The sequence below is a fragment of the Homo sapiens genome, chromosome X, assembly GCF_000001405.40.
Source record: "Homo sapiens chromosome X, GRCh38.p14 Primary Assembly".
Classification (NCBI taxonomy): domain Eukaryota; kingdom Metazoa; phylum Chordata; class Mammalia; order Primates; family Hominidae; genus Homo; species Homo sapiens.
Window position 1 is genome coordinate 105,690,348 of NC_000023.11, and position 21,242 is coordinate 105,711,589.

Sequence of the window (21,242 nt, forward strand, 5' to 3'; positions counted from 1 at the left end):
AGTTTGCCAGAATAATTATTCTGTTTGATTAAACACAAATTTACATTCTTCATAATCTTCAACCTTAAGTAGATGCAATATTAGCTTATTCCCTCAGTAAATCTGTACAACTTTAGGAAGAACATGCCGAAGTATAATAAAATCTACACTTCTACTTAATAATGATAAATCAGAAAAGACATAGGTCTTTTATTAAGCCAAAATATTAAGCTAGTCTCATTCACCAAGCACTTACCTACATTATGTGAACTCGAATTCTTAAAATGTTTTGAATTGGTTTCTGAATTCTGTGAGAATACTTTTAAAATCTAACATACCAAAAACATTAGAAATTCAATTTCCTTATTTTCTGAGAATTTTAGGAATATTCTAATTACATAAGAATTTAACCATCTCTATAAGCGAATCCTCTAAGATACTTTATATTCTAATTTATTAATATCACCCAAACATAGCAAAATATTATACCCTGTCTTAGTTTACTCAGGCTATCAACAAAGCACCATAAACTGGGTGGCTTAATCAACAAAAATTTTTTCCTCACAGTTCTGGAGGCTGAGAAGTCCAAGATCAAGGTGCCAGCAAGATAGGTTTTATTCTGAAGGTCTCTTCTCTTGACTTGTAGGTAGCTGCCATCTTGCTGTGGTGCACATGACCTCTTCTTTGGTCACAGTCCTATCAGATCAGGGCCCCACCCATATGACCTTATTTAACCTTAATTGCCTCCAAAAGAGCCTATCTCTAATGCAGTCACATTGAGGGTTAGGGCTTCAACATATGAATTTTGGTGGGACACAATTCAGTCCATGGCATATCCTTACAAAAAAAGAAGTAAAGTTCCTTATGAAGTACAGACACTTAGACATGCAGACACAGTAAGAGCTTATGGCATCAATTCTAAAATATCAGCCAGGAGCCAAGAGTAAACTCAGAAGTATATAACTCATTGGTCCAAATCAATCAGATGGTCTCTTCCCATTCTTCAATTCTTAATTGAACTTGAGCTTAAAATAGACAAACAAACAAGCAGAAAAGACTAACAAATCGGATTTTCTATTGTCCCTCAGCCAACAAAGATCACTAAAAACCATTAATCCACTTACAGAGATCACTAAATAGTCATACCACAAGACCAAATTCTCAATGGGAAGCAACTTATTGGCCATAAACCAAAACAAAATTAGTAGAGTGCAAAATAAATATTACAAAAACAGTGTCAGCATAGTTCTATTGCCACTTTGGATTCACCTTCTTAGAGCCAAGTAAAGACATGCTTGGATTAAACTGTTAAAAGATAATTTTCAGAAAAAGGTAAAATCATGGCTCTCATACAGATATAAAAATAAACATATCCTAAAGATTTTACTCATATATTATTAAAGAAGCCAGACATATGTTTTAACTGGTTTTTAAAGTCAAAAAATCACAAATGTATATAGAATAAAGTAGTAATGAGATGAAATGCAAATGGAAACAAAACTGATTTTTTTTTATGAAGAAGGGTGGCATAGGGTGAAGAAAAGTCAATTAATTCTCCACCCAGTAGCACAGACTTTAAAAATTCCAGTTATAACATAGCTGAAAGAAAATGAGCAGATCTAGAATTAAACAGGGCACAAGTTTTCCACTGAAAAATAGATTTCTACTGAAACACAGTATTTTTTTCTACAAATAGAAATAATTTGGAACTATTTTAGAATATATTTTATAATGAGTTTTATTGGGAATATTTCAGATTCCATTCCTAATATGGTTTTGTACAGGTTAATCTTCAACTGAGTTAACATACCCTCATAGATAGTAGAGTTAACAAACATCACCATTACTATGACCACTACCACAACAATCGTTACAACGATTCTTAGTCTGCATAGCACTTTACATACATTAATTCACTTATTCCCCACAACTCTGAGATAGGCACTAATATTATCTCCATGTTACAGGCAAATAAACGAAGACACAGATAACTGAAATAATCTGTCCATGCTTACAGAGCTAGCAAATGTTGATAGCTAGTCCACTGAGATGTCAGCTAGCTATTTGGAGACTCTCACCTGTATTTTAATAAGTTGATTAATATGATCTACAAAATGCAGAAGCTAAATTTCCTGAAATTGTTAACTGAGGAACATTATAGCCCAGGTGCTGTGCTAAGCACCTGAAGTATATATGTAAATGAAGCAACATCCTTGGCTTTGAGTTCCCAGTCTAGGGATGGAGACAGACATGTACTCAGATAATTACAAAGCAATATTCAATAACAAAAGCTAGAATTAAATGATGCAGGGGCACACATTTCAAAGAAATGAATGCTGAATGAAAAAAAAAAAAAGGTGGGAGAGATGGGCAGGATTGAGGTTGGTGAGGGCCTTGAATACCATGCTAAGCAACTTTGACTTTATCCTGAAGGCCAGAGGGGGCTATCGTAGGGTATTAAGCAAGGAAGTGACATAATCAGGATTCCATTTTAGATAGATTGCTCTAGTAGCAGTATGGAAAAAGAATTAGACAGTAAGCCTATATCCCAAGAGAACAATATATCAGTTATCTGATAATAAAAATACAAAACCCTCAAAACGTAGTGAACTATTTATTTAAGATTCTTCTGTGGATCAGCAATTTGGGCTGTGCTCAGCTGGACTATTCCTCTGCTGTTCTCTCCTGGGCCTCATCCAGAAGTCTGATCATTTGTGCTAGCTCTTTCCTGGTCCTCTCTATACCCATGGGTTTTCACCTTAAAAGGGTAGCGTATTCTTCTTTACATGGTATGGCAAACAGAATAATGGCTCCGCAAAGGTGTTCATGTCCTAATCCCCAGAATTTGGGAATATATTATTTTATGTGGTAAAAGAGACATTGCAAATGTGATTAAGATAAGGATCTTGATATGATTTAGATTTTTGTCCCCTCCAAATCTCATGTTGAAATGTGATTGCCAATGTTGGAGGTGGGCCTGGTGGCAGGTACTTGGGTCATGGGGGCGAATCCCTCGTGACGGTCTTGGTGCCATCCTCATAGTAATGAGTGAGTTGTTGCTCTATTAGTTCACAAGAGTGCTGGTTGTTTAAAAGAGCTTGACATCTCTCTTACTTCCTTCTCTCTTGCTCCTTCTCTCACCATGTGATATGCCTGTTCCCTCTTCATCTTCCCTGACGAATGAAAGCTTCCTGAGGCCCACATCAGAAGCAGATGCTGGTCCATGCTTGTACAGTTGGCAGAACCATGAGCCAAATAAACCTCTTTTCTTCATAAATTACCCAGCCTCAGGTATTTCTTTATAGCAACATAAAACAGACTAACACAGACCTTGAGTTGAAGAGATTATTCTAGATTATCTGGGTGGGCCCAATCCAATCACAACAGTCCTTATAAGAGAGAGGCAGAAGGATCAGAGTCATAAAAGGAGATGGGATGACAGAAGCAGAGGTGAAAGAGTTGGAGAGAGATTTAAATATGCTACAATGATGGCTTTGAAGCTCGAGGAAGCTGGGCCATGAACCAAGGAACCGAGGCAGCCTACTGAAGCTGGAAAATGTAAGGAAACATTCTCCCCCTAAGCTTCCAGGAGGAAAGCAGCCCTCATGACACTTTGACGAATCCACTGAAAGCAGTTTTGGGCTTCTGACTTTTAGAACTATAAGATAAATTTGTGTTATTTTAACCTACTAAGTTTGTGGCTTTTGTCTTTTATAACAGCAATAGGAAACTAATACACATGGCATTCTCAGGGCAACAAGAGATTAAATAAAAGCAGAAGCTACAAGCCTCCTGAGGCCTTGCTCAGTAGTTGCACAGTGTTACTTTTGCCCTGTTCTGTTGGTCAAAGCAAGTCATAAGGCCAGCCCAGATTCAGGGATAGGAAAATAGAATTCATCTCTTGACTGGAAGACCTATAAAGAAGTTGTTGCCTCTTAAAATGCACTGCAACAAGTTAGGGGGCAATTAGAGTAACGCAGGTAAGACATGAAAAGGACTTTAAGGTGCTATAGGATGGATGGTAAGGAATGGAGAATTTCAAAACATACTTAGTAGGTAAAACCATCAAAATTTGATGATTAATTGAATGCAGAGGGTGAGGAAGATGAAACATATTTGATCCTCACATCAAACCTGTGAAGTTAAGTAAACATTATCATCTACCTTTAGCAGAAGAGGAAACTGAAGCCCAGAGAGGTTAAATCATTTGCTTGATGTCCCATAGCTTGAACTAGAACATAAAATTCCTGACCCATGATCTTTTCTTCTGGTTGGACTATGTTGCTTACATATCCCTTCCCCTTCCTCATCCCCTCCTGAGATCTCATATTAATGGACATATGCCGCCACTTACTCTTCCATCTGGAATGGGTACCCTTGTTCACTTCTATTCTTGTGACTTTATGTAACTGGTACAGCAACATCAACACCTTCCATGTCAGCTAATATAGAAAAATCAAAGGAGAAACTAATAATAAAAAGGCAGATCCAAATAAGCCACTTTTTAGTAATCACATCAATAGAACACTACACATAATATGATGAATTGATTAAGATTTCATTTGGGAGGCTGTGATTTGTAAAGGAAAAATGACCTTTAAGGCATTTTTCCCCTGGAAATGAGACTAGTTCCTCTTTATCTCCTTGTGAATCATTAGTGAGCTGAGGAATCAACGAACACTGAAAGTTGAGGAAGGTTAGCTTCATTTCTTAAGAGCTATTATATCATGTAGCTAGTTTCCTTAGCAACAGTGTACATATCTCCCCACATGGTATCTTGAAAATTGCAAAGACAAATATGGTAGGTGCCATTCTTAAAGTTATCAAAAAACTGCTTCTAAATGATCCTACTTTGAATTTCCATGTAAAAAACTTATTCTAATTTTTTGTCTAATCATTGTAGACAAGGACTGTAACATTTTATAAATCAATGGATACATGAGGTAGTTAAGCAACAAAAAGAGGTATCGTATTTTCAGGGAAAAATGTGTCAGATCCAAAGGAAACTTTCAGATTGGAAATCCTCATGCCACCAAATACAGAAGATCATGTCTTTTAGAGCATGAATATTATTTGCATGAGGCTTACAGCTAGATGATATTAGCCTATGGACTTTTTCCTACGGTAGGAAATCTAGCCAATATAGGATAAGTGTTCAATAAATGCTGGTTGCTATTATTATTATAATTGGAAATTTACAGAAAATAATCTAAAAATAGAATTGCAGCTGCTTCCTTGGTATGTATTATCCATGCATAGAAACTCATGGTGTGTTTAGGCCTCAAGTTACAAAAAAGTAGCTATAGTAACAACATAAAAGCTACCCTTTATGGAGCATTACTATGACTCAGACATTGTGTTAGGCATCTTAACGTACCATATCATTTAGTCATCACAAAACATTGTACAATAGATACTACTACCTTCACAATTGTATAAATGAAGAAATTAAGGTGAATAGAATAAGTGTCTTGACCAAATACCCACAACTAGAAAGTGAGAAAGCTGGAAATTGAATCCAGAGATCAAATCCTTTTCTGCCTAACTCAAATGCCATGTTCTTAGTCAATTGCTCTTTCACCTGTGCTGCAATGTCTGCATACAATATTCTCTAATGATGTTTCATCTAAGGCCAGGAGGACAGTTAGAGGACTGGGAAATAGATTCCCACTTAACTGTGACTTCTCTCCCAATCCTTTTAATTCCCCACCTCATGTATCCTGACTCTGCTCTGGAAAATTTAAATGCAGCCTGCTAATATTCAGTATGTACTAGGAATGTGCAAAGATGTAAGAACAGGAAATGGTTCCCTTCTTGAAGGAGTTCATAATCTAGGTAGAGACATTAAGGATAACACATTAAATAACGAGAATCATAGATGACTGAATAAAAACAGTATCAAATTGGTCATTTTAAAATTTTGAGACATGTGGCGCTTTAGCCACATAAATCAGTAAAACAGAAAGGATAGGTCAGCCCAGGACTAGGGTGAGGGGGCCTGGCACAGCTGGAGGGCATGATTCTGGATGGTTAGCGATCATTCCAGTGTGTCTTATTTAAAGAGATGTGCTATCTGAAGGGATGTGGTTGATCTGGACTATGGTAAATAGCCAAGGAGCACCAATCTGGTGTTTAGGACTGGTAATACTTCAAAGCAGATGAAGTGCTAACAATGTGTTTATTGACGATGAATAAATATAGGACACCACATCCACCCCCCCCACAAAAGTAATAAAATCGAGGGACTAGAAAAAATTAGAGTGTCATGGTCCTGGCCAAATGGACTGGAGTTCAAATCCATCCATGAGGGAATTTGTAAGAATTTTGTAAACATGGCAGGGAGAAGACTGTGACTTAGGGCACATGTGAATACCTAGGGCTCACCTTAAGGATAACATAGGCTAGCCCTGTTATCTGGTTTCCTCTCCGGGGACCAGGAAAAACCTAGCCAGGTACCCCTGGATACGGGTTTCTGGGAGCCAGGTGTAGCTAAAACAGGGTATTTACTTTAGGTGGCTATGTTAGTCCACTTTGCATTACTATAAAGGACTACCTGAGACTAAGTAATTTATTGAGAAAATAAGTTTATTTGGCTCATGGTTCTGCAGGCTGTAAAAGCATAGCACCCACATCTACTAGGCTCCTGATGAGGACTTAGGAAGCTTTTACTCATGGAGGAAGGTGAAGGGGAAGTAGGGGAGTAGGTTTGTCCTGTGGTGAGAGAGGAAGTGAGAAAAAGGGGGGGAAATGTCAGGCTCTTTAAATAGCCAGTTCTTACATGAACTAATAGAGCTCTCGAGAGCTCATTACCACGAGAATGGCACCAAGCCCTTCATAAGGGTTCTGTCCTCATGACACAAGCAACTCCCACTAGGCCCCACTTTCAACCTTGGGGTTCACATATCAACATGAGATTTAGAGGGGACAAACATCCAAACTATATCAGTGGCCTAAACCAACATAGCTCAAAAAAAAAAAAAAAACACCAAAATTTCAGTCAAGGAAGGAAGGCAAAGTTCTTGGTAAAAATGCATTATTAAATGCCAATCCTGAGGTTTGAAGCAGGACTATAAGTGGGAGAAAGAATAATGAGATTAAGTGGCAGAGGAATCAGCAGTTGATTAGGCAGTGCTCAGAGTGGGTAGAAGCAAGCTATTTAGGGCTGCGATGTGTACGGAGAGAGATTGATTGACCCTTTTGTTTATATGATGCCAGCTGACTGCTTGGGAACTATAGCGGACATGGTAGCTTAAAGAATATCAAGACAGGAAGATGAATTCCAGACCCACCCATGGATAGGATGGACTGTTCTAATGTACTGTCTGCTGAAGTCAGAATTGGCTTAGAAACTGCAAAGGCATATTATGGCACATGCATATAAGTACACCTGAAGATTGAATCAATATTATGTCTTATTCATATATACACCACTGGCATGTTTGAGTTGTGTACAAATGCTGTTATGATGAATAAAATACCAATTTATGTTAAAGCATTAGTGAATTAGTAGCTATTTTTCTCATTATATATTTTTCTTCAAAATTGCATAGTAAAAATAAGAGTGGTAATCCAGGGAATTCTTGACATTGTTAGGACCAGAATTTAGAGGCCCTTTTCTATGGAATCACTACATTAATTATGTAGTTATATAAGCCAACAGTTTTTCCCTCCTGCTTCCTGAGATTCAGATCAGACAATAAGGATTTGGTTCCTACCAGAGATGTTTAAGGGAGGGGAGTAGACACAGCATCAGACTGACTCCAAGTGTTGCTTCTCCCATAACTTGTCATCTTCTACAATATTTAAGATCTTTTACATTACACAATCATCATCATTGTTGTCATTGCCACTATCATTATCATCATTATTATTATCTGTATTTGTATAACACTCTGCACTTTGCAAAGTGCTCTTATCTTCAGAGGTCGATTTGCAATGAAGCTAATGAGGCATAAGCCTTACAAACCCCCTCCAAACCTCCTAGAGTAGCTTTAGCAATGCTTTTATCTGACTATATGTTTTTGTAAAGCTTTCCGAAGATATTTTAACTAAACTTAACTTAGACACTTTTTCTCTTGTCTGGTAGCATTGGAGTGACCATGAAAATTTTAGGGCTTTAGTTAAGTAAAATTTGAGTTGGTGAAATATTTAATTTGGGTTTAGTAGGACATTTTCAGTGCACAGTCACCTCTGTATATAGTTAGATTATGCTAGCCACCCCAGTATCAAATGACTTCCAAGAAATCATCCTGCCACCCACTGTGCTGACTAAACCAAGGGCCAGAGGCCACAGAACCAGAAGTCATTTCAGGATAATAACATGTCCTTAAGTGATTGGCAACAGAAGTAGAAGTGAATGTAAGAGAAATAAGCTTTGAAATATAGAGAGCTAAAATCAGTCTGTGAAAAAATACTTTATATCTAAAAGAAAATTGAGAGAAAACTGATTTTTAAAATGGGTAGGTGTTCCCCAAATTTGACAGCAATTCTCAAACTTTACATGACATTAGCAATAACAATTATAAACCTGAAGAAAATTCCTAAACTTATTAATAAAAAACAAATCTCAATCAACCATGCTAGAGGAACTATTGAATTCCCTTTCCATTCTGTTTATAGAAAATATTACGAAGTTGTCATATGAAGAGAAAAACAAAGTATATGCAATACAAGTATAAGTTATAAAAGTTATTATTGAAGTATGTCAGGCAGTTAATTCATGAAAATATGTAGGGTTTTTTTTCTGGATTTTGTGATGTTTGTGGCATTTATCATCTTTTAAAATGTGTTACATATACCAGTTTATTTTCTCATCCTAAAAATAATCAATTTTATACTTAATTTTGTATTTGTAATCTTGCATTCTTCTTAAGACAATCCCCCTTGACTTGTATAAACTTTAGACACACAAAACCTGGATTAATCCCGGTGCATGCATTCTGTCACCCAACTGCCACAATATTCCTAGACAAATTATACTTTACAGATTAGAGAGATGCACCTCACTCATTCAGTCTTTCAGCAAATGTTTATGAGAGCCTACTACGTGTCAATTACTCTTCCATGCTCTAGGGATGTAGCGATGAACTTCACACATAAAAATCCTTGCCTTCCTAGATCTACATTCTAGTGACATTATAACAAGGTATATAGATAAGTTGTTATTTATTCTGTGTCATATGATGTAAAATGAGTAAATAATCTTGGACTAGAACCCAGGTGTTTTCCCTCCAGTTAAATTCTCTTTCTTTGATTATCTTAATTTACATGGCTCTTGCTTCATCTTCCACATTCCTCTGTGGGATGGGATTTGTAATCCATCATCTTCTAGGCTTGGACACATCTCTGCTTTCCCTGTGACCTTCTCAAGAGTCCTAGTACAAAGCTAGATGCAATTCTTAGAGAGGCTTATTTATTTTTAACATGGCCCAATTTTATCTCTTTTGGATGAAACACACCCTGAACATAAAACTTGCTGTGCCTTTTTGTCCTTTTCTCTAGGTCACTGCTTAGATTTTTTTGAGTTTCCAAGTTGCAGTCAGCTCATGTTGCAGAGAACAGATTCTTAGCCATCAATTTTTGCCTTCTAGGTAAAAGCGAATAAATTACTCCTTTCAAATGTCTTCAAGCAGCTGCTGAATTTTTCTCAGGAGTATCTGTTGTTTTGTTTTAAATATATTCTGAGTTTTGTTTTTTGTTTACCAACAGAATTTTTCTGGCTGGCAATTTCTTCCACTTTTCATTAATTGTGGAAGTGGTTGGTGTTAATAAGAAAGGGTAAATTCTCCCAAGGATATAGAACACAGTAAAAACAGCAGTATAAATTGGTGAGGGCTAAGTTGTTCAGTAAGAGTCACTTTTTCTGCATTACTTTCGGCTCCATCACTGCATTCAGAGAAAAGTGAGTGGTGAAATCAATTTCCTATATAAATTTGGCAGAGAACTGAATCTGAAAAACTGAGGCAAAAGAGGTCTATTTTAAGCTTAAATTATTGGAGATAATTGAGTCATGTAACCACTTCATTCTCTATGTTTAGACAGAAGCTTAGACATCATCTGATTTTCTTCAAAGATGTACATTGTAAAAACAATTTCCCTAAATAACTTGCCTAGTCTTCCAAACTCAATCCTGTAATTTTATTCCCTTCATTCCAACATAGCTGTCTGTCATTCTCCCAGGCAATGGGGGTTGAAATTCTTGAAAAGCACTTAAGTCTCAGTGGGACTTCATGGTGACATTTTGCTAATGTGCCTTGGTAAACAAAACATCCTAGGTTGTGAAACCAAAGCCTACTTCTATGGCGTTGTTTTTGTTTTAAACATGTCATTAAGAAAAAAGATATTACTGCTTCAGTATTTCTTTGATTTATTATTGGTCTAGAACTTGTTTATTAGACTCTATTTAGTAATAACATTCATTATTTTACTACCCCTTTATTTCATAGAGAAATATGATAAAGATCTCTTAATGATCATGTTGATTTGATAAGCAGATGAAAGGCTAAAATTTTTAAATCTATCTCATACCACTAGGTTGACAAAATTTGAAAACTTTATTATCCAGATGTTCTTTTCAATGCTCCCCTCTCTACTCAAGTGCTCCCCAGTGGTGCTTCAGGTTTACCACCCATAACTCTCCTCCTGCTCCTCTGGACCTCATCAATATTTCCTCCAGGGTCACATGTCCTATCTCCCTTTGGGACTTCATGGCAGGTGCCCTAATGAGGATCTTAAAAATGAATTGAGGTTTGAATGATGGGAAAAACTATCTGCTATTCCTCTTCCCCTGGGAGTTTAAAAATTTTAATAAAGGACAACTGAAAGTAAAATGCATTAACCTGAGAAAGGAATGATAGATGGAATTTTGGGCACTATGCAGGCCAATTAGGTTTGCAGAAGGAATGAAGGGTATGGAGATGTAAGAGTAGAGTTCAAACCTTTACATCATAAAACACATAGATAGTGATCTATAATGCACAAATACGTGCCTACCCTTGAGACAACTCAAGGGTGATTTTAAGTCCACTCATTTAGACATTTTCCATCTGTTTAAGAAATGAATTTTCACTATAACAGCTACTGTTCATTAAACAAACAGGTACAAAGAGTATTTATTTTTTAATATATTGCGACATTGAATTCCTGCAATTCCTCTTACCAGCTTCTCAGTTGGTTTAAAATGTGTATGTCATTCCAGTCTACTTAGATCTATATCAAGCTAATCACTTCAGGGCAGCTGTAGATTGATGTCCCAAGCCAGGGAGGAACTGGCCACTTACCTACCTGCCTGCCTGCCTGCCTTCCTGCCAAGTAGAGCAATTGTTACTTTTTAGCTCTCTCATACTCCATAATGACAGTTCGACTCCTTACCAATTTATTTGATCATTTTAAGAGCATCTTCATAGATTTCAAAGGAAAAACTATATCCTTGTTTTTTGCACTGATATCATGTGCATTGTTGTGTTGTTGTTGATGGTTGTTTGCTTTTTCTTTTGTTTTGCTGTGTTTTCCTCTTTTCAGAATTTTGTTCTTAGATTGCAAGAGTGACCTCTAGTGTGAAACATCTGTATAGTTATTATCTCAAGCTCCAGGGCCTCTTATCCAGCCTTAATTTCCATAGGTATTTGTGTTATACAAAATATAATTAGCAAGACCTCCACAAATATGGCAAGTTATCATCTAAGAATAAAAACTCCAAGTCAGGTTTTTTCTTATTACTACTCATTTATTTTATTCTTAAACTTTGGCTAACAAAGTACAGCTGCATTCTGGGGATTCTGGGATGGCAAAGGCAACACTTCCAAAAATGTCTTTGCAAGGAACTAGAAGTAAATTACGGCATTCTTTATGAGCTGGGTGTATTTGACTGCAGAAAAAAATGTTTTGCAGGCCTCTTGTTGCCCCTGGCATTCCTGTTGTGAATAATCGGTTGGTGCACTCCCCTGTTCTCTTTCTTCTCCAGAAAAAGGAAGTGTTTTCCTTACCACCATACTGGGTAGATGCAAGGCACAAAGAACACACTGTATTCTTCATGGGGAAAATTAAAGTCGACTTAAGCATATGTCCTGCCCTCACACAAGGCCAGCCAGAAAATTTGCAGTATGGTCACGGGCATTGCTTATTCCCTACACGAGGTAAAATAGAAGCTTTAACTGCCTTTCAAGAGCTAGCTCCCCTTGCAATAAAAATAACAACCCCTCATATTGGCATAGTGCTTTAAAACTTACAAAGCACTTTTATTCATAAAATTTTACTTCATCCTCTGACCACCTTTAGGAAGTAGGCATTATTAGTCCCATTTCAGTGATGAAAAGTATGAGGCCCACTGGGGTGCAATGACATGTGCAAGGTTAAACATATTTAGTAAATGGTGGAGTTAGAAGTCTTTGGACTCCAAACTTAGTGTACATTTTCTCACAGATTCCTCAGAGTCTAACAATCAGACTTTGGCAAAATAATATATAAGATTTTCAAAAATAAAAACAGTCTGCATTCATATTTCTATGAGCCTTGAAAAGAGAAAAGATGATCTGGTTGTAAGGATCAAAGAAGGTTTTTATGGAGCAGGTTATATACTTCAGTCTTTAACAAATAAGAAAAATGTAGACAGATGAGGAAAACCATTTCAAGCTAAGCAAAATCAGGGCAATAGGAAAGTATAGCACATCTATAAAAAATAGAAAGCACTTCAATCAATGTTTCTAAGTGTGGGAAGGTTGTAGGAAATAATTCTGGAAAAGAAAGTTAAGATCAGGACCTGAAAATCCTCTAATTCTAGAATAAGTTTTCTTAATCTCAGCACTATTGACATTTGGGACTAGATTATTCTTTGTTGTGGGGGATGTCCTATGCACTGTAAGATGGTTAGAAGAATGCCTGGTCTATACCACCAGATGCCCATAACACCACATCCCTCAGTTTTGAGAAGTAAATATGTCCCAGATATTACCAAATGCTCCCTCTGGGGCACAACTTCACCCTATTGAGAACCATTTAAATTGGTAGATTATGGGGACCTTTTCATATTTTGAAGCAAAGTTGTGTAATGAATACACCTATGCTTAGGGAAAACAAATATGGCAAAAGTCTACAGAAAAAAAATGGAAAAGGGAAGAGGTTGAAAGCCAAGAAAAAGCCCCTCAGGAAGATATGACAGGGGTCTCACAATGTAAGGGCCACAGATAGCTGCTATATTGGAAAAAGCATTAAACTTAGAGGCAGGCACTTGGACTACATTGCAAGCTCTGCCAACAGTCAGTGTGTGTTCTTGGACAAGTCATTTAAAACTGTGCCCTCTATTTCTCATCTAGAGTGAGAAGATGAGAGGATGAGACGATGATCTCAAAGTTCCCTTCTAACTGCATTAGAGAAAGATATGCAATGCTGTAACTAACTTTATCTGCATTCATTCTTCTCCATATGTCTTTTGAAAGAATCTTGGTGGGTATCAAATGTGTGTTTGATTTCTCTGTGTAAAGATAAACAGCATAACCTCACTGTCTCAGATTAAGTTGGATGAAATGACAAGTCAGAAATAGTGAAAAATATGAATTATTAAGTGCATTTTAAAGACATGTAGTTATATTACTTTCAAGTACATGAAGTACTTAGAACATAGATGTTGAAGTATTGCTTAGGCGAGGTCTCTTGGAAGCTAGTTTAGTTCATTAATTTAGCATGTACTGAAAGCACACAATGTGCAAAACACTCTGCTAGGCTTTTCAGAGGTTACCAAGATGGATTAGTTATGTGACCTGCCAAAGAGCTTACAGTATAGTAAGGGAAGTTAGCAATATACACAACGATAATACAAAGCAGAATGTTGTACATTCCAAACAAATTGTATGTGCAAGTCTTATATACAACAACAGGCTGATTTTTAGATTGCTTAGTCATGTAGAATACAGCTTAAATCCAGGTTTTAAAATAATCAAATATATATTTAAAACACATACACAACTTTTTCACCGAGTTGCTAAAATATTTGAGTAAGAAAAAATACAAGCTAAACAATTATCCATCAACTCAACTAAGATATCTGCGTAATATATAACTGAATTGTAATGGTACCATACATAGGCTAACCTCACTTGCCAGTGGAGCCTTAACAAGTAGACAAAAATGGTTGGCATCAAGCAAATTGCTTATATTTAAATGGTTGTTTTAAAGAACTTGTAATAATTCTCCTTTTTAAAGTATTTAAAATATTAAATATACTTTAAAAAATCTTGTCTATGCTATTTTGTCCCTTGCTTTGGGAATCTTTGTTCTAAAGAAGCAGCAATTTTCTTTTCTTTTAAATTTTATTTTTAGTTCTGGGGTACATGTGCTGGATGTGCAGGTTTGTTACATAGGTAAACATGTGCCATGGTGGTTTGCTGCACCTATCAACCCATCACCTAGGTATTAAGCCCAGCATGCATTAGCTATTTTTCCTAATGTTCTCCCTCCCACCACCCCACCCACCAACAGGAGAGGCAGCAATTTTAATGTTAAAGTTTTACTATATACGATGTAACCAAGTGCAAATTCTGTAAGAACATTTTTCCCGTTGAGCTGTTTTCTAATTTTAATGTTAAAGTTTTACTATATACCATGTAACCAAGTGCAAATTCTGTAAGAACATTTTTCCCGTTGAGCTGTTTTCTATGGTGTTCCTTCTTGCTGTATCTTCAGGTGATTAGCAGAGCCAAATAGCAAATGTACAACTTTGGTCAACAGATTATATCTGAGATAATTTTTGATTTACCTACTACATACTCATGTGCACACATACACTATGTAAGAGGGCTGTGGTAAAAACTGATGTAATTAATTCAGGGAGAGAATGCCATGTCATTTGGGGTGGGGGGGATGACTAATAAATAGATAGATGATAGATGAATAGATAGACGGATACAGATAGATAGAAAATAAAATATCTGTACTAGTAGATATATATGTGTGTGTATGTGTGTGTACCTGTATATGTAGGCCAAAGATAAAAAAATACAGAAAAATCGCAGTTACTCAGGAATTTGTTGTACAGTTTGTACAGAAAACTAAACTGTGAGTGTCTTTTTAACTTGAGAGCTTCAGGGGAAAGAGGCTGTTTTTTAATCAGATTTTTGACTACAGAAGTAAATACAAGACAGTGTGAGAAATGGACCAAAGTGGAAGAATATTGAGGTCCCTGTTGGTTCCAGTCAAGTAGAGAGATGGGTGTAACAGAACAATTGACTTTGAGATATTTTCCCCAACTATGTCACTCCTGGTCTATTTATTTTACAACCTTCATACTGTGGGAAATATGGAACAGTATAAGGCACAGTCCTGGCCCTAGGAAGTTTATAAAAGTTCAGAAGACTGAACAAAAACAAGTGATAAGAAAACTACCAATCTAAGACATGCTATGAAGCTATCTTTGATAAATTATTCTTAGTGACACAACAATCCTTGAAGGCAGAGACTGACATATTTAACGTATCCCCAAACACCTAGGAAGGGATCTTGCCCATTGTAGATACTTGTTATATGTTTGTTGAAATGAAGTGGCATGCTTATGGAACAAAATATAAAAGCTTAGAAATACAAAATAGAGAGATCACTGTTTTCAGAAGCCTATATGCAAGATACTTATGAAGTAATTAATAGTGTGACTGGAAGGTTGTAGTGTGTGATTTAATTTTATAGCATTTAGTATTTTCATATTAAAAAATTACAGCTTTATAGAAGCTTATAAAGGAAAGGGCAGGGAACAACTTATTGAAGACAGAACTAGATCCAGAGGAGAGGAAGAGTAGGGATGACTGAGGAGACAGGATAGTTCCCTGTGAATTTGGAAGAGAATTTTGAAGGAGAGAGAGAAAGGATTGTTGAGCAACTGCTTTGAGGACTTTGAGTCAGTAGATGAGTAGTGAGGAATTTTAGAAATCTCCGCTGTTAAGCAATTCTTATTGCTTAACAATTTTCCCACTATTTGAGAAACTGCTAAAGATACACATTAATTTTCAAAGAAAAAAATGCACATTACATGGTAAAGAATGGAGAACTTCCTTATTAGCTTTATCCCATACTGGAAAATGATTGGGCATTATTTGATGAGACTAGCCAATTGTTTTACCAAGGAAGGAACAAAGAGTAGTGGAAAGTTCCAGTGAGGAAGGGTTGTGTAAACTAGCAAGGCTGAGTGACTAGAATAGAGGCAGTCAAGGATACTCATAGGAAAGGCAAGAACAATGATGGAGTTGGGAATCCATTCCTAGCAGGATGGCTGGCTCAGTTTTACAGGAGGAGTAATGTAAAGACCCAGAGCTGGAGAGTACATGGCTCAAGGAATGCGGATAAAGCCCTGGAGGATACAAGAGAACCTCACCAACTTTGTGAATTACATTCAGGCCATTCCTGCCTAAGACTCAGAAGCTGACTTCTGACTTTTCTTGTGAGCAATGATGGGTCTTTACTTTTTTAAATTATGCCCTTCAGCAGAGGCAGCAGGAGAGGTGACTTCTTTATTATGATATTGCTAACTGCAATAATTAGCTTTAATATCCTTTATTTTCTGTCATTTATGTAACCTCCTGTCTTCAAAGAACAGAACAAAAATATTCAAACTTATTAAATGGCATATAACTGCTACACTCTCCCATAGTGGATACATTGAACTCATTTCCTTCTCTCTTCAGGAACTTATGGACATGGGGAAAGAAAGATTACATACAATTCAAGATAAAATCCAAATTTCAAGCAAAAAGAGATGGTGACAATCGTAGATTGGTATCACCTGAATACAGCACTCGGAATGATTTCCACAGGCATATAAACATTGAGGTTCTTTTCTCCCATTTTGTTGTTGACTCTGCCTTGCAAGAATTTTTGAAAAGGCAACTCAGATCAGTTTGGCTCCTCTTCCCTTTCCTTTCTCCCTCCTCCTTCTTTAAAAGGGTTAGCAAATGAAAGGGAAAACTTGAACTTCAAGGCCATTATTTATTATTTGTACCCTGGTTCATTCCAAAATGGATTGGTGAAGACCGGCAAAGATACATTTAATGCTGCAAGAGAAAACCGATTTAAAAATAAGAAAAATTAGTCGAATTGAACTAAGCGTTTGAGAATCAAACAAGTACTATTGAGCACAACCATGTGCCTTGCAGCATGCTAGTTCCTCTAAGGAAATGAAAGTGAAATATAAGATATGGTTTCCATCCTTAAAGACTGTAACATTTATTTGGGAAGAGGAGGCAAACACCTGTGAAATGCAGTATGGAGGAGTGTTTAGGATCTTTGGCTCTAGAGTCTAGCTGTCTGCTTTTATATTTCTCCCACTTACAATGTTTGTGGCTTCAAACAAGTTAACTTCTTTCTACTTTTCTCTGCTCATTGTAAACTGAGAATAATAATACCTTACTCCCTGGGTTTCTGTGATGATTAATTTGGTCAGAATACCTTAAGCACTTAGCTTATTTTGTTGTAATAATTATATAAAGCAAAGTGCAGCTAAACTTTTAACTTCCTGTGACATGTATAAAAATGGGATTCAGAGAAAGCAGAGTGTGCATTAAGGAAGTCAGGGATGGCTTCATGGTATCGGTGGCACTTGAGCTATATTTTGATGGATGAGGCTTTAAGTGAGCAAAAGTGGAGGGTAAAGGCATGCCAATCACGTAGGCTACAAAATAGAGTATAATGAATGGCAAGACCAGAGGGATTTGTCATCAAAGGAAATTAATAGTCTAAAAGAACCCTTATAATACTTCAGAAAATCAATACTGTGACATGAATCTGATCAGTAATATGTGGACAGCTTTGCGTTTCATTTTCTCAACTAGGCATTAAACCTTGATATTTCCATTTTCTAAAGGATTAAAGGATCCTTGTGGGATTATTTTGAACATCATTTCTAGAGTCACGGTGTGCAGACAGCCAACAAGACTTATCAAAGTGAATGGGACCTATGTTAAAACTACAGACACATATTATTCATTTATTTTTTGAGGATATTTTAAAAACTTTCCACAGCTGTGTTTTAAATCTCACTATAATGTCCAGAAAACACATCAGTATTTTCTTCAGTCACCATATAATACCTGGATCAATCTTCAGATATACAATAAGAATTGCCATGTTTGTATTGATTCATTTTTTTTCCAAACTTGTACAGCAGGATTTAACTAGCAAGTCATTCCTAGTACCAAAAGTTGTGATCTTATTAGTAAGGGATTCAAAGTACTTTTGATGATACAGAAGTTGGGAAAGTGAAAAAGATTTCTGTTTCCAATCAGATGTTCTCAAATGACAAAGGTGACCTCTTTTTTGGGAAGTAATGGTTACTCTGTGTTCTATTTTTACTACTCTCTTGTCTAGCTGCTAGAATAGACCTAACTTTGTAAGCTTTAACACTTAATTCCATGTAGTGTAGAGCCAAGTAAATAACTTTTGAAACAAATGAAAATAACAACTTTAAATATGAATTTAATATGGACTGAAACCATTTTTCAATTGATATGATTGTATAGATTGGCTACTCTACAAACCTAGATTTCTAAATCAATATGGGAATTTTTAGTTTCTTTCCTTCACCTAACACAATACAAAGAATCATGTGTATTTAATTTTAAACTATTAATTCAATCCAAATGAATTATTTTGCAACTATATGCACATTTGAATACACACATACAACATATTTGCTTGCTTCAACTCTCCTGACATCTCAATTTGCTGAGTATAATTTGGACTTGCTAGTATAGTGAGTTAATATCCAAGGATTTTGTCTTTTCCATAGGGAGCTTTTAAAAATTCCTTTGTCAAGCTGAGATATGAAAAACACTGGGTCAAAGAAAGCAGGGTCATAAGCCAAGATCAGCAGAGCCAACAGAAGCAGCCAGGGTCAGGTTAGGTGGAGAGAACCTAGGGTTCAAGGCAAGGTAGGGTTTATAGGCAGGAAACCCACTATGAAGTAAACAGAGGTTAAGGGATACACAGGAACTGGGATTCCAGGCACAGAAAGCAAGCTGATTCAGGCCAAAAACCAAATGGCCCAGGGACCTTGACGCTAAAGTTAAAAGCTACCTGAGGCACAGAGATTTACATGCTTTTTATTTTGCAGAAGGAACTAATGACTGGCACTCGAGAGCTAGGACTAAAAGTGACACAGTTCATCCCACTTGGAAAATTCTAACACTCTAGGCCAGCTACAAAATATGAGAACATCAGACCTGAAAGAGTCCTTAGAGATTCTCTCAGTTGACCCTATAATTTTTAGAAGAAGAAAGTGTGGCTTATTAGAGGAATGGGCTTGTCAAAAAAATCAAAGCAGTATAGTGGAAGGGCTGGGGCTATAACGTTGACGTCCTAACACTAGTACTCTTTACATGAAATGTCTTTGCCTTGCCTACATTTGGTACCCTTAAATGTGAGATATGACTGAGAAAACTAGGATCTTAAGACTCTGAGCCACACTCCTTGTCCAAAGGAAATGAAAAAGGAAAAAGGAAGCAAAGTTAATGGGCGGGATATGTAGTAACAATGGGGGTTTTATTCATTCAACCTAGATAAAATTCAGTAACAGAAACTTCTATTGGGATTGGGGCAACTTGGTGACACAACTATGTAAGTCTTATAACTAAACAATTCCTCATCCAGTGGACTTTGTAACTCTTATCTGATTGAGCCAATTGTGTACCAAAACAATAACAACAATAACAACAACAACAATACTCCTTTAACCAAGAAAACAATGCTCTGTCTCATCTTACTTTGAGGTCTGCTGCTGTGCTACTTCCCTCTAGCACAGGCAAATAACTATGAACATATTCCCCACCATCCCCAAGAAACATTACCTGGCTTCACACATACATTCTTTGAAACCAGAAATAGTAGAAAGTTTATGGGTCTCAGTCTCTCTTTGTCTATCTCTTTCTCTCTCCCAAATCATTATTCTATTCTAAGGTTACTCAAGTATTTTCTCCTGGTCTTCTTCCTTCTCAGATTAATTAGCTTTGGTAGCCACTGTCTTATCTCACGGTCACTGTTGTCTGGGTAGAAAATCCTACTTTTTTTTTTTTTTTTTTTTCGGTTTCCACCATCTGGGATAACTAACTCATGTCTTTCTGCCTCATCAACTTTTCATCTCCCTTGTATCTTACTGGAAGAAATAAATTCTTTCTTCCTTCCTTTAGCTTCATAATAGCTTTATCTCAACTATAATTTAGAATTTACCTCTGTGACTGTTTCATTTAATTTAGAAATGATGGGGAGAGGGCTCTTCTTTAGAATAAAGAATTTAAAAGGGCTTTATAAAATCACTCTGAAATGTCAAACTTCTTTTTTTTAGTAGATTAAACACTGTACTACATATTGGAAGACATTAATTTCTGTAAAACAACATCAAAGCTGGTTCATAATTTGACCTCAGAAAAGTCAGTTAATTCCTATCTGAGCCTGTTTCTAAATCTCAATGATTCATTCAGTTTGTTTGAGATAATAATCTCAGAGAAAGAAAGGACCTTGGTATTTTTACCAGTACAACATTGGCTGCAAGTGGGTACTTGATATATTGGATGACTGATAGAAAAGGCCAGTGTGAGGAATGATGAACTACCTTGTGATTAAATTACACTGATATACATATAAATATATATATATATTTATATATATATGTGTGCATATGTATGTGTATATATACATACACATACATATACATATATAGATATATGTGAATATATAGGAATTTTATTTTCAAAATGAGAGAATATATGTTTCTCTCCCTCTCAGTGAAGCTACACCCGGGGATCACTGGCTTTCAGCTTTTTCCTTCTTAACATATAGAACAGATGATACGTACTGTAAGAAAAACTATTAATGGGTCTCTTAGTCCATTTTCTACTGCTGTAACAGAATACAACAGAGTGGACAATATAGAAAAAGATTTATTTGGCTCACAGTTCTGGAGACTGAGAAATCTAAGAGATGGCACCAACATCTAGTGAGGGTCATCCTGTAATAGAAGGCATCACATGGCAAGAACATGAGTGTGCAAGTCAGAGAGATGAAATCCAGCTGAATTCATCCTTTTACTAGGAGTCCACTCTCTCTCTCTCAATAATGGCACTAATCCTGTGATAATGGCATTAATTGATTCGTGACAGCAGAGCCCTTATTACCTAATCACCTCTTAAAGATCCTGCCTCTCAACACTATTACATTGGCAACTGAATTTCAACATGAGCTTTGGAGGAGACATTCTGCTCTTGGTCCCTCAAAACTTATATCCTTCTCACAAT

At 36.4% G+C, this 21,242-nt stretch overlaps 1 protein-coding gene and 1 long non-coding RNA gene across 4 annotated transcripts in view; one reads left to right on the top strand and one right to left on the bottom strand.

The window, feature by feature from the left end:
• Positions 1-21,242, top strand: part of IL1RAPL2 (interleukin 1 receptor accessory protein like 2) — a 1,201,631-nt gene that overhangs the window by 1,124,149 nt on the left and 56,240 nt on the right. The gene's annotated exons all lie outside the window — the stretch shown is intronic.
• LOC105373303 (uncharacterized) overlaps positions 1-21,242 on the bottom strand; it is a 135,721-nt gene that overhangs the window by 28,716 nt on the left and 85,763 nt on the right. The window contains exon 5 of one of the 2 annotated variants that reach the window (XR_007068300.1): positions 6,578-17,009. The exons of the other annotated variant lie outside the window; for it this stretch is intronic. This is a non-coding gene — a long non-coding RNA (uncharacterized LOC105373303). Of the gene's footprint in view, positions 1-6,577; positions 17,010-21,242 lie in introns of those variants that run through there. 2 annotated transcript variants of the gene reach the window in all.